The sequence below is a fragment of the Homo sapiens genome, chromosome 7 (assembly GCF_000001405.40).
Source record: "Homo sapiens chromosome 7, GRCh38.p14 Primary Assembly".
Classification (NCBI taxonomy): domain Eukaryota; kingdom Metazoa; phylum Chordata; class Mammalia; order Primates; family Hominidae; genus Homo; species Homo sapiens.
The window spans coordinates 31,685,642-31,709,459 of NC_000007.14; the positions used below are offsets into that span (position 1 = coordinate 31,685,642).

A 23,818-nucleotide genomic window follows, 5' to 3' on the forward strand; every position below is an offset into this window, starting at 1 on the left:
AAACCACCATGGCACACGTTTACCTATGTAACAAACCTGCACGTCCTGCACATGTGTCCCAGCACTGAAAATAAAATAAAATTTAAAAAATGAAGAAGATAAAGCAGGCAGTTTTGAACACAGACCTGCTTCTAGGCCCTGTCCCTCAACATCTAGGGCCTTCCCTTCCTAGACAAGAGCATCACCTTTCAGCAACCCTCATCTCTTCCCAGGAGGTCCCAATAAGGATCAACACAAAATGGAACAGGCAAAGAAGTCCATTCTCTGCTTATCTGTTACCATGGCAAAAGTCTAACCCTAGGAGTCAACCTCTTGGTGAGTTTACTATGGTTCTAGCCCTGTTATTTGGGATCCTGGCAAGTGGGAGGGAGGCACCAACAAACACATTGCCAGTGGCAAGCAGGCAGTTGAAACCAAGGGGTTGCCAGGGACCTGCTCTGCAGGGAACCTCAGGTAAGACTGGAAAAAATATGGATGTGTGGATGGTGCTCACGTATCTTCTGTGAGAACATATTTCTTGGGCATCACTGGGTGGTCCATTGGCTGCTATCAGGGGGTCTGGAGCCCTTCTAGTGGGTCCTGATACCTACCTGATCTCCCAGACTGGCCTTCCTGCTTTGGAGTCAAAACTGCTGCTCCTCCAAACCCCAGTGGGCTCTCCTCCAGTGAGCAGACCCAAAACATAGAACCTTCCTCTCCAAAAGACAGCATGTCTCCCGCCTCTCCCACCTTGCTTAAACATCCACTCTTGAGTGCCTACGTATTCCTAATATTGGTACATTTGGCTTTGTTCCTTTGAAGGAGGAAATTTTTTCTGGCCTGCACACTATAACCTATAGAGTTGGGGGCTGCTTTCTTTGCTATGTGCTGTTTGAAATGCTCTCTTTGCTGAGAGGTATTGCAAAGTGGTTACAAGCGTGGACCCTAGCATTTCATTACCCCATTCAAACCCTAGCTTCACCATGTGGGGAGACCTTGGTCAGATGATTTGGTAACTCTTGAGCCCCAGCTTCCTCATCAATAAAATGGGATGATGACTGTAGCTCATCTCACAAGGTTGGCCTGAGGGTTAAGTAAGTAGATATGTGTGAAGTCTCTAGAAGAGTGTCTGGCATTTTGGTAGCCTTACATAAATGTTAGCAGTAGCTACCCTTCTCTTCCTCCTCATGATAGTACTTTGAGAAGCAGCAATAGTGATTGAAAGTACTCTGGATTTAAACTTAAATAGCTTTGAGAGTCGAAATTAGCTGTGGCCTCTCTTGGGCATATCACTTAACTTCTTGTGCCTCAGTTTCCATATTTACAAAATCAGGCCAAAAAAAATCTATCGCATGGGAATTCAATGATGTAGCTGGTTTGTCTGAATTTCTCTGGTGTGCACACCGGAAACTCAAAGCACGACTCTATACTGTACTTTTGTAATGTACAATGATTGCCGTGGAGAGCAGCGATGGAGATGTTAGTCCTCTTTCCTTCTCCATCCCCCTTGCCCTGGTGCCTGTGAAACAGAGCATCCCCATGGCAACAGCAGCAGCTGGTCCCTAGATAAGAGGAGCTGGAGCCGGCCAGCAGCAGCCACTGCCGCAGAGGAGCCAGGCCCAGCCTCGGTGAGCACACACGCCCTCCCTGTCTCTCGCCTTCGCTTCCCTGCATCTGCGCTGATTGGTAAGTGCTTCAGATTTTTACTCCAAGAACTTTTGTGGTGAGAAAAGCAAGTTTCCAGTCAGTTACTGGGACAAAGAAGGCTGTAGCTGGTGGCACGGGGTTGTGCTTTATGGAGCAAGGCTAAGCTGGGGCCGAGTGGACAGCAGAAAAAGTTACCACTTTCAAGTCATTCTTCCAAGGGAGGGAATGGAGTTCTGTAAAAGACTGAACCCTCACAAACTCATTTGCAAAGTTTCAAGATGAAGTTGGTGTATCTGCATATTCACACAGGATAGAGAGGTTTATCTTCCAAGGCTGGGGAAAGTACAGAAAGTATGCTTCTCAAAACACATTCTCCATGCCCTACTTTAAGTCAGTCTCTCCTCCAGGAATACTGCCAATTTAGGTTTTCTAAATGAACAAATCTGATTTTAAAAGACGGTACTTTTTGACCTGAATTCAATCCTCTGGTTAAAAAGAGGTTTGACAATGAATATGTATTTTACATAGCCAGAGGGTGCATTAACGAGATACCACATAGGCTGTGGATACAACCTTCTACCCTTTTATTCCATCCAGTAAATCAAGACCTGATTACTTTGGGGGATATTCTTCAGAATACCGTATGGTAAGCTAAGTGTCAACTCGCTTCTGAGAATCAGTTCTATTATGTTCCCAAGATTTAGAAATGGGTTGGTTTTTGTCTTGAACTATTCTCATCTCATTACCAGCTTCAGAGAAGGCCAGAGATGGGATAAAGAGATAATTCTGATAGATCAATTTAGATAGACATATAATCACAAATGGAGGACTGAAAGATCCAAGAAGGTCCCTCACACTCACGAAAATATCAGTGTGTAGGACCTGGGCTCGGGACTCCATGCACATTCTATGGGTAATACTCTCAACAACCCTGGAGAAGAGCCACTATCTTCCCCCATTTAACAGATTTGAAAACTAAATTTTTGAGAGAACAGATAACTGTCCCAAGTTCACCCAGCTAGAGAGTGGTACAAGCAGCCAAACGTTGGCTTCTACCTTATATTGACTCACAGCATCCAATCTTAAAGTTGAGAGGAATTTTCTTCCCATAATTTAAACCGCATATTCTCACATCCAACTGAGAAAACCGCTCAATGATAAGAGAAAAGACAAAAAATCCAGACCAGCTTCTGACCACACACTGAACCAACTAATGTGTTTCAGCTCCGCTGGTGTGCCTGCCTTTCTGCAATATAGTGGGGTCCCTTTTCTGGCACCCAGTTCCTTCCCCCTTTCAGTTCCTGTTCTCAAAAGAGAAGGTGACCTTTGTCATTAACAATCCCTGTGTATTGTGACATCAATTTACATATTGCTGCTCTTAGTGGTATTTGCATTTACAAGTATCTCTCTGTAAAAAGAAAGGTTTTGTCCCTTGTGAAAAGGAAGGTAAGGATTAGTAAGAGGAAGTTACAAGAGTTTAAAATCTGAAATCCTGAAATCCTTTCTCAAACCCTGAAATCATATCTCTTGGTCTCTTGCATACTACACTGAATACCTACATTCTGTCAAACAACCACAACCAGAAGAGTAATTCGATCAATACTCTTTCATTCTCTAATTAAGAAATCTGAAACATTTTGAAAACCAAAAGGTTTGTTGTTAAGTTCAACACAAACTCATTTGGTAGCAAAGCCTGACCTGAAAGAATGTGAATTTTTTGTGGTTTGTCTTTATGTCACTTAGTGTGAATATTCATAGTTTTGCTGCAGAAATAATGGATGTGACTGCTGGTGCTCCTTGAGACCCCTCTAGAGCTGTTATATAATTTAAACAGTCCTGATTTCCACAGCACGTTTGACTCCAGGCTTGTCACAAGGGTGGGTGGCCAATATTGCAATGACAGTGGCAGTCCACGTCCCTGTGTGAGTGTTAGAATTCAGAGCCCACACTGAACCAATAAGTGGAAAGAGGATGTTAAAAAGGTCACAAGTCTTTGTAGTAGACACAGTTTATGAAAACACCCCCAAATGTGAAGTATTAGACAACAAGCCTCTCTGGAGGCCCTAGCTTTTTGGTTGAATTCTGAAGATGCAGAGGACCAACTATGCAGGCATGAAAGAAAGAGCTGGTGCCTTAGAAAGTTCCCAAGTTACAGGGAGATGATGAAACCTTCCCTGGGCAGCCCAACAAGTGCAGCATCCCTTTATGACACCTGCTTGGGGTAGAGACTGAATTAAAGAGAGGAAGGCGTGGGTAGAGTCAGGAATAGGAAATGGAAATATTCCATTTCCTATGTCAAGAATTAGACCGGCTCATGTCTTAAAACAGCTCACTCATAAAGAGCGCCCCTTCTCACTGAGGATAGAAATGGAGAGTGAGTTGAGAGATGGGGTCATTATACTAACAGGCTATGAAAATTATCAATAAGCCAACACTAAACTCCAAATGTCTTTCCCCTCCACTTGCTTGTTCTTTTCTTTGTGTGAAAATTTTCTCCTAAGAAGTCCGTAATGACATCATTCATGATAAAAGTATCTTCTAACCCCATGAGCAAAACACATCCCTGCACGGCATGGGATATTCTTGTAATGTAAAATCCCAGATCTGGAAATTGTCTCTCAGCCCCTTAGCAAACAGTCTTGCTGGTTCACCACCACCATTCTTTAAATCACACTGATTTGAAATAGTGTTGTTTCTCCCATAGACAAGATGAGCTATGCTGTGGAGGAAGCATGTGTCAGTTTTGTGACGAATCACTGCTTTCCCTCACCTTGTCCAGGGGCCTCTGACATGTTTGATTATTCAATTCATCGGCCAGAGACAGGCTTTCTTTTTCTAGACTGGTGCTGCCATAGCTGCTTTGCTCAGAGGAGGCCTGGACCTCCCGTGGCTAAGCATCTGAAAGAAAAGTTCAATTGCTTTTTAGAATCTTTTCATTATACAACGGGTCTTCCTTAGCCAAAAATCTAGCGTGGTAGATAGACAACATTACATAAAAATAGCTGCCACTTGAATTATGACTACAATGTGCTAAGCATGCAGCTATGCTATTTCATCTTCACAGTTACTCCACCCAGTAGGTATTATTATCTCTATTTTACAGATGAGGAAACTCAGGGTAAGCTCGGGGGACAGAGAGGGACATATGTTTCTGGGTGCCAGACTGTGTGGGCACCACAAAGATGTTAGCCTTTGCAAATTTTATTGTAGCAGACTTAACTTGTGTGGAGAGGGGGCAAAAATGATTCTATTACATTGGGCCCCATTTACTCTCACTACATCTTTAAGATTTAGCAACTTCATCGAAGTCATATGGCTTTTTAGTTTAAGAGCTGAGATTTAAACTAGGTCTATTTGACTCAAGAATCCAGATTCAAACTAAATAACCTGCTATTAGGCACATAAGAACAGCCATAGGATCCAAGTTAAAAACCGCCTTACCTTTCAAGGGTCGGGGAGAAGGATAAAGGTACTAACAGCAGATAGGACCTTCAGTAGATAGTAAGTGCGTGGCTTCAAATGATTACTCTGATTCTAAGTGTTTTACTAATGGTATGTCATTTCAACATTTTTGAGCCTCAGTTTCTTCTTCTGAGGAATGAATATTTTCAACAGATCCTCTATGGGGTAATTTTCAACATAATATGTATGACTGGGCCCATGACTCTGCCTGAAGAGGAGGAAAATTGGTTAAATAGGTGCATAAGACCATATCTGATGCTGCCTTGAGACCTCAGCACTCATCCTGAGTGATGTTCCCATGGCCCATCCAAGCTAACAGCATACTTCCTGATGGTCGCAGGGAGTTGGCAATCTCTATACAAACACTGAAAACAATGGTCTGAATTGATTTCTTCTGAAGTCACTCAGTACAATCAGTCTGCACAGAGTGACTCTAAAAGCTGTGCTCAAGTGATCAGTTAATAGCTCCATCTGCTATCCAGTGATCTCAGCACATAGAGGAAGAGACCCTCCCACCTTTTCAGAGAAAACCGGTTTATTCCTCAAAAGACAACAGAGTTGAACTCATTTTATGAGCTTGAAACATTAGCACAACTGGTCTGTGTGTTCATCTGCATGCTGGTTGTCAAGAAATCTCAAAAGAAAAGAATTGGTTGGGCGATTTTAATCTTATTTATTCCTCCCCCACCACTCTTGCTATAGTAGGACATGAGTAATAAATTATCTAAAAAGAACTCAAGATACAGAATCTAGCCAGGCTCTAATGAAGATTTTCTATAAATCTCAGCTAATGCATTTCTCCTTCAGACCTGACACATATCCATTCTGGAATTCCACTGCTCCTGGGCGACAGCTATAACTAATAGCTCTGGAAAGTTCAATGAACTTTCCAGGAAAGATGGAGGGTGGGGACGGGGACAGATTTGTTCTCATGTCTGGAATCCCTAGGGAGAAAATAAAGATCTATCCAAAACCCAGATTTTCTCCTACCATGTTTCTACCACCATCATAATGTGGATGGGGAGGTAGTCTCTTTACTTTATACAATAGTTGTAGAATGTAATGATTAAAAAAAAAAAAAAAAAAAAAAAAACCAAGCAAAAAACCCACAACAGAAGCCTTATTCAATTCGGGTTCAAAGGATTCATTTTATTTTTAAGAGACTCAGGTGTCTAATGGAAGTCAGCAGGACTGGACCTGTATATAGCCTTGGCTATTTAATAGATGTGTGACTAAATTAATTAAATTTTCTGAGCCTCTGTCTCCTCATCTGTGAAGTAGACATAATCCTACTTTGCAGAACTCAACAGAAAAAACATAGGCAAGGTTTAAGCATGATTTTCTGTGACTCTCAGCTAATTCACTTCTTATTCAGACTTGACAATTGCTTATTCTGAAACTCTCAATGTGTCTCTGAGAGAGGGCAAATATTGGACATTTGATACATGACAATTATGAATAAATCTGTCAGTGTGAGGGTGGGAGGGTTCATTTTATTTTGGCTTAAATCTCAAGTTTAGAGTTTCTAATAGCCAAGTTTAAGAAGCACACATAAAGAAACAGGATTGGATTGGGAACACAATAGCAGGTGCTCAACAAATATATTTACTTAGCAAATGATTGAATGAATGAATAAACAGAGCCATACTTATTAACTGTTTTTTATACTTCCTTAGTGCTGGAGAAGAAATACATCCACCCACCCTCCTTTGATGATGTCCACTGAGCAAATGCAGCCACTGGAACTCTCAGAAGACAGACTGGACAAGCTAGACCCTCGTTGCAGCCACTTAGGTAAACAAATGATCGATTGTGAATGTCAGTGGTGGAAGTCAGAGAAGAGGCGTCTCAGCCATTTGGTTTGCAGGCAAGTCAGAGAGAGGGCACCCCCCGAAACCTGATAGTCTGTGCCTTCTGGTGACAGCCAACACCAGATGGGCAGGCAAATAGCCATGGGTCTGTGGGGTCTGCCATGTAAATATTAGCTGAAGCACCAGTAAGAAGTTCATTAGACAGAGAGAGAGAAAGAGAGAGAGAGGAAGCATCGTCCTCTTTTTCTGGGTCTGACAGAGTCCCAGGCAGAGCATTTTTGAGGCAATAAATGGAATGTGTCAGTACAGCTTGTTTCCAGTATTTCCTGACACACTTATACCCCATGTGCAGTGCCAATAAAATATTTCAAATATCTCTCTTTGCCTATCAAGACAGAATTTTAAATAGCCTTTTTCTGCTTTATTGTCAATCTGTTTCCTTTCCAGAACTGACTTTTTGCATAACCTTTGTAATGAAAATACCAGAAACATTTCTGCCGCTACCCATTTCTAAAAATGAGACATTCAGACTTTTGATGGATGGGCCTTTTGCCTATTCATAGCCTTTGTCTATGCCTCACGTGGTTATGACTCCCCCCTCCTCTCCCCTCTCCCCATTTGCCATCAAGATATTTTATGTTCAAGATTTCTCCAAAAATGGGGAAAAGTGCAATTGAAGTAAAAGTCAAAATTAAAGCAAATGGCTGTGCACTGAGCAGAATCCTGGGGTTGAATTGTAGCCCATGACAGGTTTGTACCTCAAGAGACCCACAGCAGGCAGTACCCATTCAGAGCAGCATTCATTTATTCAACACATGACTATGGCATGTAAAATATTGGGGAAAGATTAACTGTGCTATGTGGCAATAAGCTTTTAAAATTGTGTTTGCAGCCAGGCATTAAGATACATAGTCCCAAGAGGCTGGGTTTAATCCTGATACCATAACCTGCCAGCAGTGTACCCCTCAGCTTTTTACCTGGCTTTCTGAGCCTCAGTTTCCTCATCTTCAACATGGAGAAAAGAGTATAACACCGTTGTAGACTTAGCATGAGAACTCAATGAGATCATATGTTCAGGGATGGTATTCATATTTAACAACTGATAAAGCATAGGCATTGAAAAATCAGAAAAGATGTAATAAATGAATGAATAACAGAGTTTGCATCTAGACCCACCAAGGTTTAAGACATTTAATCCTCAACATTTTAAGGAAATTTACCTGAATAGTTTTTAGTAAGAAAGAGAGAAATTTACCTGAATACTTTTTAAATAAGAAAGAGAGAAGGAAGAGAAGGAAATGAAAGGGAAGGGAAGGAGCTAAAATATCCAATTACTCTTTTAAAATTTCTCCATACTTATTCATATCTGTAGATCTAGCCAAACTATATCCAGGCCATACTTAGAGTGTCCAAAGAAGACAAAAAGTTTCACTGTCTTGTGGCTTCTTTGAATCCTAACGGAATAGTTTCTTATACAAAATATATTCCAGTTTATTCATCAAGCATTCATTCAACAAATATTTATTAATTGCTGCTGAAGAGTTAAAAGATAAGGCACCTGTCAGTAAAGAGGTCAGAGAAGACATATGCAGAAATAATAACTAGATCATCTTTTAAATATGTTACTTAAACAAAAATGCTGTGGATATTAAGAAAATGAGAAAGAACACTCAGGACTGGAGTTAATACAGATACATTTATGAAGATGGGAAGCTTTCCCCTAAGTTTAGTGGAAGGTTAGAGGGTGAGCAATGGCCAGAGTGAATATTTTGGGACATCTGAAGTATATCAACTGTATCAGATGCTTTGCAAACATTAACAATTTTAGCTCTCTCTCTCTCTCTCAAACACACACACACACACACACACACACACAGATTTAATATTAATATTATCTCCACTCTAAAGATTGAGAGAATATTAGTTTCTAGAAATGAAGGTGCAAGTTCTCAGAACTAGAAAATGATAAGAGTCCATGTTTGAACTCAGATCAGCTTGACTCCATTTAACCGTTCAACATCCATTTATTGCAGGGAGAGGCAACTAAGAATAAAATTACAAAAAGACTATAATCCTTAATCTCCAGAAAGGCTGTGTCTGGAGCAGCAGGTAAACCATTATGGAAGAGTGAACCATTGCTGAAACAATGACAGTGAAGTCCAAGGCAGAACACAAAGGATAGAGGAGTAAGAGGGAGCAGAGGAGAGACTTGAATGGGCAGGGCGTGATCAGATTGGATTCATTACCCGTAACGACTTCTGATAGACTCGATGTAAAAGCCAGGCTTCAAAGCTCTGGTGGGGTAATGCAGAGGATTGAGAAAAGTAAATAAATGAGTCAGAAGACAGTAGGATCTTGAGTTAGGATGGGCAAATAGGAGGGTTACAAAGCCAGGAACGGTGAAAAGACAAATACAAAACCCAAGGTCTGGATCACCAGGAGGATGAGACTGGCACAATGATGAAGGCAAGTGAGAAATTCACTGAGGACCGAGGGAACCTTTCTAAGATCGAGGGAGATTTAGGTTCCATACTGGCCCTTGGGGTCTCCAAAGAGAGCAAGTCTTGAGCAAAAAGAATGGAGGCGCGTTTAGCAGAGAGAACCTATTCTCCCATCAGAAAGTTAACTCAAACCCACTCTGTGGCTTGCCGGACCATATTTTTTAAGTTTTTCTTTGCCTCGGTGATCCATCCATTTGAGTTTCCTTAATTTGGAGTTTTACAGCATTCTAGTTTTCGATTTTGTTATATGAATTTATGCAAGGCTAATAAAGTCCTTTGTGGAATAGGCCACAATAAATAAACACTTTTCCTTTTCAGGCCAAATCACCTCTGTCCTGTCATCAAGTGCAATTAGGAACCAAACAGTTTGTGACTGGATCCTTAATCATGTTATATTCTTTATTTCTTTGTATCCTGTCAAAATTAGATGATCTTTCAGACCAGTTCATTAAGGACTGTGATCTCAAAAAGAAGCCTAGAAAGGGAAAAAATGTACAGGCCACCCTGAATGTTGAGTCAGACCAAAAAAAACCAAGGAGGAAAGATACACCGGCGCTGCACATCCCACCTTTCATACCAGGTAATGGACAAAGTCATCTGCACAGCTGTAAAGGAGAGCCACTTGCCACTAGGTTGCATTGTTCGTACACATTTTTCCTTAAATATTCAGGTATTTTAAAGTAATTTGTGCACTCCCCACCTCTGTATCTCTGTATTAGTTACAATATAGCAAGCTGCTATAACAGATACATTCTAAAATATTAGGGGCTTAATACAATAAAAGTTTATTTTTTTTACCTACCAATAGTGAAACCATGGGGTGAGGAGGCAAGCTCTGCTTCAAAGAGTCATTCAGGGACCCGGTCTCATGTGTTTTGACATCATAAACACATGGTGAGCAAAGTCACCACAAGCTTCCACAGTCACGATGAGTACCAAGGTCCAGCAGGCATGGGAGGTAGACAGAGTGGAGGACTGACAGGGAGATTTACGTGAACCAGGCCTTCTTCAGTCACGAGGCCTCACCAGACAATGAGGTAAGCTGGGAAATGAACCCAGCTCAATGCCCAAGAGAAAAGCAAAGCAGTCTGCTGAACAGCTAACATGTCTCTGTAACACCCTTGGATGTGATGCATGACATTCTCTTATTCTTCAAAGTTTTGCCTTGTTTTGCTTTCTTTTCTCCCTCCCTCTTTGTCACTAATTTACTGTCATCTCTGTTCACAACACACCTTGAGGGTTGCAAAACAAATGAAACATAGATCTTTCTGGGAATGATCTTTCAGTTTTCTAAGAAATAACAACAGCACATAATAGCTGAAATATGCAGTAAGAAGTGACATCATAAGGGAGTTCTTAAAAAGGACTGTTGGAGCTCAGTGTGGGTAGTGAATTGTGGAAAATTTTATGCAAGAGGCTGTTTTTAGAGAGTTACTCAATAATGGAGAAAAATTTCACTGTAGCATAGAGGTGAGAAAGCAGGAGGGCGGAGGTATCAGGGTGGAAGTGTGCAGACGCAGCTTGCAATACATCAGATGAAATCCTCTGGCTGAAGAGGATGAGATTTGGAGGCAGAAAAACTTGGGCTCAACTGCTCTGTGACACCTATGAGCTGTAATACCCTGGGCACATTTCTTTGCCTGACTTCCCTCAGCTTTGTGATGGTGGCCATAATACTAAATTCCTCAGGGTTTTAGTGAAGCTAAAATAAAATCAAGCATGCAAAACCTTTTGTATAGACAAGGTTCCTAGTGGAGCCTCAATAAATACTAATGCTTCTTATGAAAAGTCTTGCTTTATTAAAGTAAGTTTGGAAAGCTATATTGACTGTCTTCACCAGATGTCTATAAATATGCACAGTCCTCATATATTAGGATATATGTATTTGATCCTGTTTCTCTCTGTGTTCCCCTAACCATGCAGGTGTGTTTTCAGAACATTTAATTAAAAGATACGATGTTCAAGAGAGACATCCAAAGGGCAAAATGATCCCTGTTCTTCATAACACTGACCTGGAACAGAAAAAGCCAAGGAGAAAAGACACACCTGCCCTGCACATGTCCCCCTTTGCAGCAGGTAAAAAAGCTGGTGCAGGGCATTTGCAGGGGGTGATGGGGACAGGTCAAGAACCTTACCATCTGGAGGTCCCCAGGGCCTGGCCGTTGTCCTGCCCCAGCAAGCTGCGTTGTCCTGAAGTGCTCTGGGGAGAAGCCACACTCAGTGCTACCTTTTAGGTTTATCTCTACTAGTAGCTCCCCAGGGGCTGATGTGGGGATGGGAAAGGGTCAGAGCATTACTCATGCCTCAGCAGAGCTGGTTGAATTCACTGAGCCAACGGAATAGAAATGTCAGTGGGTCCTTGAGAAGAGCTGGAATGCCCTCCTCCCAAGGCTTCCACGGATTTTGCGTCTTATGGCTGGTTCTCCTGAGACACTTGGACTAATTGGCCAAATCCTCAAAATGAGAGACAGAAAAAGAGATGCAGAAATAAGGATAGCTATCTGAATGTGTGTCAAATCAAACAAAAAAAATCATACTGAACTATGAGCACAGCCCCAGTCTGTAAAGGAGCTGCTCTGTGAGATACAGTCCTTGTCTCTGAGAAGTACAAGTTGGGGAATAAGACACGTATATTCATGGCTAGAGTATGACTCTGTGTGTATGTGTGTATTTTATACAGATTGTTGTGTTGGGGAAGTGACGGAGGGGAAAATATGCTAATGTTTTTGAGATCCTACTAAATGTTAGGCACTCAGTTTATCATGTCTCATGGATTTTTATAAATTAACTGACTAATATAATAGAGAGGCTATTATCTCGTTTTGCAGACTAAGAAACAGAGAATTTAATTAACTTACTCATCTACTTTAAAGTCTTATGTGGATACAATTGATAGATAGATGGCTAACTAGCTAATTGGTTGGATCAAAGATGAGATGACTAGATGGACAAATGAACAGATAAAATTATGATCAAGATCAAACACTAAAATGTGGCAGAATTGGGGCTCAAACCTAGGTCTATCTCACCTTTGGGCAGTTTTTCACTAATCTGTGCTGTGGTTTGGAATCTTAGCATTATAGGAACAGAAGAAACACTCTGGGGAGAAGATAAAATTTGGCTGTTGTTATAAAACTATATTTCCCCACTGTTTCATTTAATAAAGAAAAAAATTGAAAAAACAGCTCAGAAGAAGACATCACGACAGAAACAGTCAGGGGCTTAAGATCCCCAGCCACATTAGAGGCTCTGGTTCTATGCTCCATGGGATTTGTGTTCTCTGCACTTCTGTCCTTGTTCCTCCACCTCTTCTTCTCTTCCCACTTCCAATTACCTCTATCTATCCCTTCGTCTTCACCACTTACCTGTATACCAAGATGAATGGTGGGTTTTTGACCCCACCTGGTCATGCCAGGGACAACTCTCCCTCAGTTTCTTTCACACACACACATTTCTACATACCAGCTTTTCTAAGCACTGACTACATGCAAGCTTCTGAGATCATGCACATGTGCTAAAAGTACAAGGAGTTTAGGACATGCAGAAGTCTAATCTTCAAACTGTCTTCATTCTTTTAACAAATATTTACTGAGTACTTGTCACATCCTGGGCTCTGTTCTAGGCAATGGTACAGGAAGAAAGTCAATAACCATATAGATTAATACATAATAGAAAGTCTGCTAGGGATAAATGCTGTGAAGAAAATAAATCTAGTTAGATGAAGAATGGGAGATAGAAATTGCTTCTTTAGATTTCCAAGGTGCACAGGAAATCCTTTCCGAGGAAGAGATATTTAAGCAGAGACCTCAGGAAAATGTGGGTGTGTCATGGGGGTAACTGAGCAGAGTAGTTGAGGCAGAAAAGACAAATCCAAGAGTCCTAAGGCAGTGATATCTTTAGCTTTTGCTCAGTCAATATTTATTGAGTGCCTACTATGTGCCAGGCACAGCTCAAGTGCTGGGCATACACTGGAAAACAAACCCCAAAGAAAAAGTCCTTGCTCTCATGGTGTTTATATTCTAGGTGGGAGAGATAATTAAATATTTGGTGCTAAAGCAGGGAAAAGGAGGTTTCTCTAAAACTGACAGTCAGGCAAATTGGACACCAGAAGATGACTTGCTCAGAAAGAGGAAAGGTTCTGAGGACTGCCTTTATTACTTCCCTGGGCAGGATCTGTTGGCCCTCAGTAACATCCTGCATCAGCCCTTACCTCATTTAACACTGAGTCAACTGTGATGGCCCATCACAGCTCTTTTACCTCACTGGGACATGAAGGGTAATGCTGTTCCTGTTTTCTAACAGAGAGGGGAGCAAGCTAGCACGGTCTCCCGTGAAAGGGCCTTCACAGAGGATTTTTTGGCAGTATTCTGTCTTCTTTCAGAGCAGTTTTAATATTGGTCAAGGGGTCCAGAGATCTTGGAATAACTAATTTAAGAATAATAGACAACAGTCACAATTTGTTAAGTTTGATTGCTTCCCAAGGGAAGAAGGAATTGTTACATGGTGATATTTCCATACTAGAGGTTTGCAGTGTTAATGGAATATAGGCCTACCTCATTCCATTTCTCTTCACTTTTTTGTGCTTTTCAGATATTGGTGGTTTTTTTTTTAACCAAATTGGATGTTTGTGGTAACCCTGCATCTAGCAAGTCTATTTTTCCAGCAGCACCATTTTTTCAATAGCATGTGTTAACTTCATGTCTCTGTGTTGCATTTTAGTAGTTCTTGCACTGTTTAGAATTTTATTATTATTATTATCATTATTATATCTTTTATGGTGATCTGTGATCAGTGATGTTTGATGTTACTATTGTAATTGTTTTGGGGTGCCACAGACCTCGCCCATATAAGACTGTTAACTTAATCTATAAGTGGTGTATGCGTTCTGTCTGTTCCACTGACAAACAATTCCCCTATCTCTCTCCCTCTCCCCTGGCTTCCCTATTCCACGAGACACAAAGATATTGAAATAAGGCCAATCAATAACCCTACAGGGGCCCCTAAGTGTTCAACTGAAAGGAAGAGTTGCACATCTCTCACTTTAAATCAAAAGCTAGAAATGATTAGGCTTAGTGAGAAAGACATGTTGAAAGCCAAGATAGGCTGAAAATTAGGTCTCTTGTACCAACGAGTTAGCCAAGAACCAGGTTGTGAATGCAAAGGAAAAGTTCTTGAAGGAAATTAAAAGTTCTACTCCAGTGAACACAGGAATGATATGGAAGTGAAACATCCTTATTGTTGATACGGGGAAAGTTTCAGTGGTCTGGATAGATTACACCAGCCATAACCCTTCCTTAAGCCAAAGCCTAATCCAGAACAAGGTCCTTACTCTCTTCAGTTATATGAAGGTTGAGAGAGGGGAGGAAGCTAGCAGAGAAGAAAAGTTGGAAGGTAGCAGAATTTGATTCATGATATTTAAGGAAAGAAGCCATCTCCCATAAAAGTGCAAAGTGAAGCAACAAGCGCTGATGTAGAAACTGCAGGAAGTGATCCAGAAAATCTAGCTAAGATAATTGGTGAGAGTGGCTACACTAAACAATAGTTTCTTAATGTAGATGAAACAGCCTTCTATTGGAACAAGATGCCATCTAGGCCATTCATAGCTGGAAAGGAGATGTCAATGCCTGGCTTCAAAACTTCAAAGGACAGGCCAACTCTCTTGTTAGGGGATAATGCCCCGGTGACTTTAAGTTGCAGCCAATGCTCATTTACTATTCTGAAAATCCTAGGGCCCTTATGAATTATGTTAAATTGAAGCTGCCTGTGTTCTGTAAATGGAACTACAAAGCCTGGATAAAGGCATACATGTTTACAGCATAATTTACTGAATAATTTAAGCCTACTGTTTAGACCTACTGCTCCAAAAAAAGACCCTTTTCAAATTATTACTGCTCATTAACAATGTACCTCATCACCCAAGAGCTCTGATGGAGGCACACAAGGAGATTAATGTTGTTTTCATGCCTGCTAATGTAGCATCTATTCTGGAGCCCCTGGATTGAGGAGTTACTTCGACTTGCAAGTCTTGTTACTTAAGAAATACATGTTTTGCAAACCTAGAGCTGCTATAGATAGTGATCCCTCTGATGGATCTGGACAAAGTAAACTGAAAACCTTCTGGAAACAATTTGGTATTCTAGATGCCATTAAGAACATTTGTGACTCAAGGGAGGAGGTCAAAATATCAAAAATAGCAGGAGTTTGGAAGAAGTTGATTCCAACCTTTATGAATGAGTTTGAGAGGTTCAAGACTTCAGTGGAGGACGTAACTGCAAATGTGGTAGAAATAGCAAGAGAATTAGAATTAGAAGTGGGGCCTGAAGATATGACTGAATTGCTGCAATCTAATGATAAAATTTGAATGGATGAAGAGTTGCTTCTGATAGATCAGCAAAGAAAATGGTTTCTTGAGATGAAATCTACTACTGGCGAAGATGCTGTGAACATTGTTGAAATGACAACAAAGGGTTTAGAATATTATGTAAACTTAGTTTATAAAGTAGCAGCAGGGTTTGAAAGGATTGACTTGATTTTGAAAAAAGTTCTGCTGTGAGTAAAATGCTCTCAAGCAGCATCACATACTAGAGCAAACTCTATTGTTAAAGGAAGAGTCCATCAATGCAGAAAACTTCACTGTCATCTTGAGAGATTGCCACAGCCACCTAACCTTCAGCAACCACTACTCTGATCAGTCAGCAGCCGTCAACATTGAGGCAAGCCTCTCTAAGACTCAGTGAAGACTCAGATAATCATTAGCAATTTTTAGCAATAAAGTATTTTTAAATTAAGCTATGCTCATTATTTTTAAAGACATAATGCTATTTCACATTTAGTAGGCTACAGTATAGTGTAAGCCTAACTTTTATGTGCAATGGGAAACCAAAAAATTTGTATGGCTCTGTTTATTGTGATACTTGCTTTATTGCAGTGATCTGGAAGAACCTGCAAGATCTCTGAGTTATGCCTGTAATAAAATTTTTTAGAAGTCCTGCAAAAGGAATCATTTTGCCTTTGTATAACCCAGATCTGATCTATTTTCCATGGATCTTTTTCTGGTACTACCTATTAGTCTTATTAGTTTAGTCATTCTACAGGTTATGCTATGATATGGGAAATTCTGCCTTAGAATTGTGATATGGCTTAAATCAGCTTTTCACCCTTATTTATTTTTTTTTTTGCCTCTACCAATAGATTGTTGTTCCCAAATAAGACAAGAAGAAAATAGAAGCATAGGCAGGGTCACATGTTTTCAGACTTGCTAGGAAGGAGCAGAGCTAGATAGGGTGGTGCAGAGCATGAGGAGTAATGGAGAAATGGTCCAAGGACCGGGGGAGGCTCTGAACTTCCCTCATCTGTGTTTCTCATAGGTTAAGTTAAATCCTACCTAGGTTAATCCTCTACTCCATCACATGCTTTCCCTCAAGCTCTGCCACTGTCCAGGTCCCAATTACCTTTCAGTAGTCAGCCAGCTCGAAGCCTCTGCTATCAGACCCCTTCAGGTCCAAAATGACTCTTTTCTATTCTTAACTAACTCTGTATTAGTCACAGCATGCAAATACCCAAAACTTTGTCATCTCTTTTAGTATTGTCTTTATTCTTCTTGTTGCCTGTATTGTCGCTGCTGCTTAAATTGACTTACATCAACAACTTGCATGATGAATTCATGAGGACTGGCTGTGACTGCCTTATGTTTCTGGTATTGATCTTGATATCTAGTCCAATCATTTCTACATAGCAATACTCACTACATATATGCTGGTTTGATGTTTTATCTGGCAATCACAATTTTGCAATACCTGATGGAGACTGATTATTTTCTGTTCGTGCTTGTATCTGTTTTTATTGAAGACCTTCTAGGAGAAGACTTGGTAGAAAAACAAAAATATTTATGGGCAGGGAGTCATCCCAGTATACGAAATTGAACATGGTCTTTGGATTCACAAAGGTCTAGGTTTCATCCCTGGTTCTGCTCCATACTAGCTTTGTGACCCTGGACAATTAACATAAACTGTAAAAGCTTTCTTCATTTTGCCCATAAATCTAAAAGGGGACCATAAATATGTCTCCCAGGGCTGTTAACACAATTAAATAAAGTACATAAACTACTTGGCAGAGCTCTTGGCTATCAAAAACTCTCAACAAATGTTAGTTCCTTCCATTCTCTGTTCAATCTTATATTCTTTGAGATAAATCAAACCATTTCTGAAGGTGAGGATTGTCTAAGCCACAGCATTTTACTTCTCTGTATAAACCTGCTGATTCAAGGAACAGCCTAACGGGTTGAGCTCTGTTTACCTGGCATGAGTGCTGCCTACATCCCAATATCTACATCCTAAGAGAGTAGCTTCCCTATTGAATCAAAAATGTTTATCAAACAACACAGCGTAAACAAGAGTTGGGGTGGGAAGGGGGAGAGGTTGTATAACCATAGCCTCTGTATGCATTATGGAATTCCTTGAATCAGCAAATCTCTATATCATAAGTAAGTGCAATTACAGATATTGTGTGATTCTAGCTTTCATTACCATATTAGCTGAAGTACTTTATTTTTGAAGCGCCTTTTAGTAGCTAAAGATTTGGCAGTAATCAAAATGGTAGTTAAGCTGATAAGGATAGAGCCTTCGGCAGATGTTCAGAAGGACTCACATTGGTTCTAATAAGGGTGTTGAGAGAAACTCGCAGACAAATACACTCTGGAGACATCTCTCATTAGCCCTTGGCAAGTGAAAACTGGACAAGGATCCAGTCTCTCTTCTAAATTTCTTGCTAACTACCTTCACTCCCCTTAGTTAATGAGCTTACTTGACAGGTTCCAACTGCGAGCACAGCCCTTCAAAGGGGTCATCTCAAGCTTCTCTGACAGACCCAGGCTTGCTCCCAGCTTAGCCTACAGTTGCCAGGGGCCCTCATCGCAGTGACTGCATGGCAGAAAGCATTGGTTCTGACTAGTCAGATCTGGGTAACCAAGGCCTGCTTAAGAGTGAAAAGAAGTCTTATTAGAGGTTTGTCACAAATGGAACCATGAAAAAGGAATAATGAGGCTGGAAGCATCAAAGAGAATCCTCCTGGAAAATTGTCCATGAGCTGTGGACATTTGGGCAGTTTGGGACATCGAAGATCAAAATCCTGCACTTCTACACTAGAAAGGGATCAGGATGTCCATTGAAAGTGACACATATTCTGTCTTGCCAGGAATAGAACTTTCTCTCTAGTGTGATTTATCAGAAGACGTGGTGTCCTAGCCCTGGCTCCCTGAGACCGCAATGTAATGTGCATGAACTATTTTAGATGGGGCTCTGGGTGGGATTGTGCTGTAAAACAGCTTGCTTCAAAGCTGATTGGCCCTTGGAGACTTTGGACTGGCAGTCTTGGTCTTAAAACCCACTAAGCTCTTACAAGCAGCCAAGTTCCCTAAACTCTTCTGTATAGAGAGAGGACGAAGGGAAGGAAATGACATTTGCTAAATCCCTACTGCATTCTAAGTCTTGTGCCAGATGTTAGCATATCCTTAGAGAATCTCACGGTTCAATAGCGGAGAAGGATGTATTGTCCAGTGATTCCTACAATGTGAAATATGCGGTAACAGAGGTTCATGTAGGTTGTGGCTGCAGCCACAATGTAGGCCTAAGTCTATTTGGGGACATCACACACTGTGGAAGATACAAATTACTTTTTCTCCAATTTTACGGGTGAATAAACTGAGGCTCAGGTAGGTTAAGTGAGTGCTCAAGGCTTAATGATCACCATAGGCAAAGCTTTCTGGCTTCAGGGTCTGCATATCCCTTTAATGGTGCACCTCTGCTTCCCCTGAAAGCATGAGGGTCAGAAGGAGGTTAAACCAGACCAGTGCTTCCCAAACCCAGGCCATCTTCATGTCACCAAGGCATCAAGAACAAGAATGCAGTCGTGACATGTAGATACTCCTGACTTAAGGCTCATCCTAAGCAATGATATCCATGAAATCAAGATTTCTATGAGCTACCACATATTTTTTCATTATAAGACATTAAAATTAATTCTTAACTGTATTAATATAAAATGCTGGTTCACCCTCTACTTGAAATTATCTCCTGTGCTCTTGTGGACAGCCCAGCCTACTTTGAGAAGGGCTGGCTGTGATGATTTAACAGGCTTTTCTTATTCCTGAAATCCCAGGAACTTTTGGGGAGTCAGCAAGGAGCAGATTCTCATATGATTAAGTTTCCAGGGTACCAAAAGTAACCAGAAAGTTGATCTGGATTTGGGAACTTAAAGGCTCTTGCCCACTTTGAATCAACTCAATTTTGGCTTAATGTGAAGAGATATCAAGCAAGGATGGATGGAAAATTTTGGGGCTCAGCATAGCTAACTCTATGTTCTCCTGCCATGCTAGCCTTAATTCCAAACAGAAATCCAAATCTCTGTGCAGCTGGTGTACGAGAAATATCTCCCACTGTGTTTCATAAGTGATTTATGCAAAAGCTGTAGTTTCAGCCAGACTCTTGAAATTGTTTTTCTCCTCCAATAAATACCAGCTAATTGGTAAAGAACCCATGTGAACAAACTAGGAACTGAAACAAATGAATAGTCATTAAGATCAACACATAGTTTTCATTAATTTACTGCTGTTGAATGGAGTCCAGTGTGGTAGAAAGGCCTCTTGTGGTGCACAGCTTCTCTTTCTCAAGTGTAGATCTTTATGAAATGCTTCATGGACTGGAAGGCGTCTCATTATGAGAAGGAAGGAGGCAGTGCGAGGCAGTGGTGGGGAAGCTGGCTGGAGTGGGATGACAGGGACCATGGAGGACTGGCCTTCCATCGCAGCTTCCTTTGACCTTACATTAAAATGACCTTACTTTACACTTCACAGGATGAGCAGAACCATGTGGCCCTTCTTGGCTGGTCCTTTCTGGGGTGATCAGTCCAGAAAATTGTGCTCAGACTTCTGAATTTCACAGACCAGTAATTTTTTTTTTTTTTTTTTTTTTTTTTTTTTTTTTTTGAGAAGGAGTCTTGCTCTGTTGCCCAGGCTAGAGTGCAGTGGTGTAATCTCGGCTTGCTGCAATCTCTGCCTCCAGGATTCAAGGGATTCTTCTGTCTCAGCCTCCCGAGTAGTCAGGATTACAGGTGCCCGCCACCATGCCTGGCTAATTTTTGTGTTTTTACTAGAGATGGGGTTTCACCATGTTGGCCAGGCTGCTGTCTAACTCCTGACCTCAGGCAATCCACCCACCTTGGCCTCTCAAGGTGCTGGGATTATAGGCATGAGCCACCACACCCGGCCCAGTAAATTTTTAAAACAAAATAGTGTGGAGCCCAACATAGGAACAGCAACTCTTTATTTTGCTTTATAAGGTTGCATTTCAAAAACCTTCTAACATCTCTAAAATTTCATAAAAGAAAGGATATTTTAATCCCCAAAAGAAGGAAAATAATCTCAAAATAAAGAACAGCTTTTAAAAGTGAAGGCATACAGTTGTATGAAAAGCTCAGTACACTTTCCTTATTTTCTCATTTTGCTCTGAACCATGTGAACGTCATCACCTCCTGGTACAGTACTGACATTGAGAAATGGCATGTCCAGAGCCTGAGCTCAATATTTCCCTGGATGTAGTAAAATGCTTTTAAGTTTGACTTCCTGAGGCTTACCAGTTCTTTTCCAAAGGAAAATAAACGAGCAAATATTGAAAGGACAGGAAAAGCCGACATTTACTTGCTCTGGGTTAAACATTGTGACATATATCTTATTTAATGGTCACAATAACCCTTTATAATAATTGTTACTGTACTCATGTTATATTGAGAAGATTTAGGTGTGAATGTGTTTTCTGGCCCAACACAGATTAAGTGAGTGGCAGAACTGTGAGTGCAAAGCAATTGGTTATTTTCCATCCCGCCATGCTGCAAGCTTAGGAGCAGAACTTAAAGAAGAGGATGAAGGTTGCCTCTGACTTCCAGGTGGTGCATCCCTTTGTAACCAGAATCGTGTCCTCATTGAGCACCTCTGGGAAGCCTAGATAGAGCCACCCAGCTCCTTCTCTGGGTTGGTACTGTTAGCAGGTAACCTTGTAGACACTAAGAGGTTTCTGGGTTGCCATGCTCCTTTGTACTGTGTCTGTCTGCAACGTTGCCTAATGTTTTAATTAGAGGTACTTAATTGCAGGTCTGTGCTTTGTTTTGCAGGTGTGACATTGCTCAGGGACGAGAGACCCAAAGCAATCGTGGAAGATGACGAAAAGGATGGTGACAAGATAGCTATTTAAAGATAGTTCCCCTGAGACCACTTGTAAATAGGTTAGATTGGTTCCCTGTGGTGACCTAGAGAAAAAATAGACTTGTTTCTGCTCTCATTTTTGTCATCGTCTGACTTGAAGATTCAGACACCTTCTCCCCAGGAGATGTATGCCATCAAATTGCCAGTCACCTCTTTGTCTCTCTCTTCTTTCTGAGTATGGTTTCTATTCTGTGTTTTGAATTTTTATTTTCTAATGCAGTGGAAAAGAAACAGATCATCCTAAATGAGGAGGTAACAGGGAAAGCACTGGGGTTCGGTTTCTGCATCTTCTGGATCAATTCACGGAACAGAGATCGTGGATTACATGGGCTCCTTCTTGGTTTTTGCTGCTGGGCAGGACTTGACTTAGCATTATCCAAGCACCAGTCCAAGTGGGGTTCCCTGTTGCCAGTTAGAGAGGTGAGAATGTTTGGACTCTAACTCACCGATTGCTTTGCAGACAAAGGTCTTTTATTTCTCCTGTCCTATCTTAAGAGTCCAAATGTCTCTGGTGATGTTCCTAAGACCCTTGTCCCAGATACTCTAAATGTGAATGTATGAGCTGGGGGAGTCAACCCAGCCCACCATGCCTTGGCTGATGATACCAGAGGCAGAGAGTGCTGGTCTGTCTGGGAAGCTTAGCAATGTATCTTCAAATTTATTTTTGTTTTTAAAAATATTTCTTAAACATGCTGTCCCAACATTTGTGAGTTGTGTCACAAGTGAGTCATTATCAATGGTAGATAAAATATCAATGTTTGTGATGAATTTACTGTAAAAAAATTAAGGTCAATGAAAGCCATTCTGTTATTTTTAGCATTCTCACTTATTTAGACTCTATTACACTTTCTTGGATGAGAGGGGAGAGTGTGGTGTTAGCTAGTGAGCAGAGGTCTGTATATTGTCCTTGCCCCAGCCTGCAATCTGTGGATGCCCAGGGGAAGGCATACAGGCCTCATCCACCAGGCAATAGACAGGAGAGAGGTGAGAACTATTTTTAGAAGGAGGAAAAGTAGATACGCAAATTGTCACAACTAAGAGTGATAATTTGGTAGCTCTGTATGTATGCTGGTTCCAACTGTTTAATCCCTTCTGTCTTTCTGTTCTCACAAAGATGGAAAAGATACAAGAGCTTGCCGGAAATAAAGCTACATCTATCCACATCTCTGTCCTCGTGCGTTTCTCCTAAGAATACCCAGTTTACTCACAATTATAAAGAGCAGAGATTGCAAAAGAGACTCACAAAGTTTTGCTTTGTTTTACTTTTGTTTTTGTTAGGCCTGCAGAGATTTTAAAATGTTTGAATTTGCTATTAATATTTAACAATCCAGTCAGGAGAAGTGATGTAAAATTCCGGATTTCCAGATTCTCTTCGAAAAATATCTCAAGACCTGTCAATTTGGGCCTGATTAGAATCATGGCAGCATCAGCTGGAACTGAGTACTGGATGCCCATTTTGGAAGGAGCAAGCATTCCCGTTTGCCATATGCCCCACCTGGAGTATATCATCCATTGACTCTAGTTTGGAGTCCCCTTAGTGAAGACGCATGTTGTAATCCTAATGATCTCACCTTTTTTATTCCAGCACTCCATGCTCTGCTCCCACTTCTGATGCCCCAGCCACAGCTTTGGGTAGAGGGGAATAAAACTGTGGCCGGGTGCTGGTTGAGGCATAATTGGTGAAGGAGGGCACCATAAAGTCTTTACAAAACCAAAAGCAATTACAGGTCTATGGATAAGAGGATAGTATAACCACCAGCAGCAATGTTTACAAAGGGATCTTTACTCAGAAAACACAGTCTCACTTCATCCTATCAGATTTGCTGTATGAACACAGAGTACACCTGTAGCCATGTCTGCAGAGATGCTCGATAACTTCTGAGGCTACTCTGAAAACCTTCATCGTTACTGACTTCCTGGGTTAAGGAAGAAAGTAGACCAGCTGTTGTGGAAATAAAAGCCTTGGGTCTAGCTTCAACTATGTGATGCCAAGCAAGCCCCTGGAACTCTCTGAGTCTGGTTCTTTATCTTGAAAATGAGGATAATAATTCTTACTTTGCCTTGTTCATAATTTGAGAATTAAGTAAGATAATGGACGGCAAAGAGCTTCGTAAGCTAAAATGCTCAATCCAACTGTAACATAGGATAATTTAAAGACACCTTCA

At 41.0% G+C, this 23,818-nt stretch overlaps 2 protein-coding genes across 13 annotated transcripts in view; one reads left to right on the plus strand and one right to left on the minus strand.

Moving 5' to 3' along the window:
* PDE1C (phosphodiesterase 1C) overlaps window positions 1–23,818 on the minus strand; it is an 811,448-nt gene that overhangs the window by 68,865 nt on the left and 718,765 nt on the right. The window lies entirely within an intron of this gene.
* PPP1R17 (protein phosphatase 1 regulatory subunit 17) lies at window positions 1,574–22,814 on the plus strand. Of its 5 annotated transcripts, none has more exons than XR_926912.4 (6): window positions 1,574–1,665; window positions 6,765–6,882; window positions 9,828–9,980; window positions 11,324–11,476; window positions 21,563–22,073; window positions 22,768–22,814. XR_926912.4 is itself a non-coding variant. In XM_011515094.3 (6 exons), the coding sequence occupies exons 2-5, from the start codon at window positions 6,801–6,803 to the stop codon at window positions 21,640–21,642; spliced, it is 468 nt and encodes a 155-aa protein (XP_011513396.1). In that variant the 5' UTR covers window positions 1,574–1,665; window positions 6,765–6,800; the 3' UTR covers window positions 21,643–21,673; window positions 21,874–22,814. The 5 variants fall into 5 exon arrangements, 3 of the variants coding, with proteins under 3 accessions (XP_011513396.1, NP_006649.2, NP_001138595.1); XR_007059983.1 differs by having other exon boundaries at window positions 21,563–21,779; window positions 21,874–22,814; XM_011515094.3 differs by having other exon boundaries at window positions 21,563–21,673; window positions 21,874–22,814.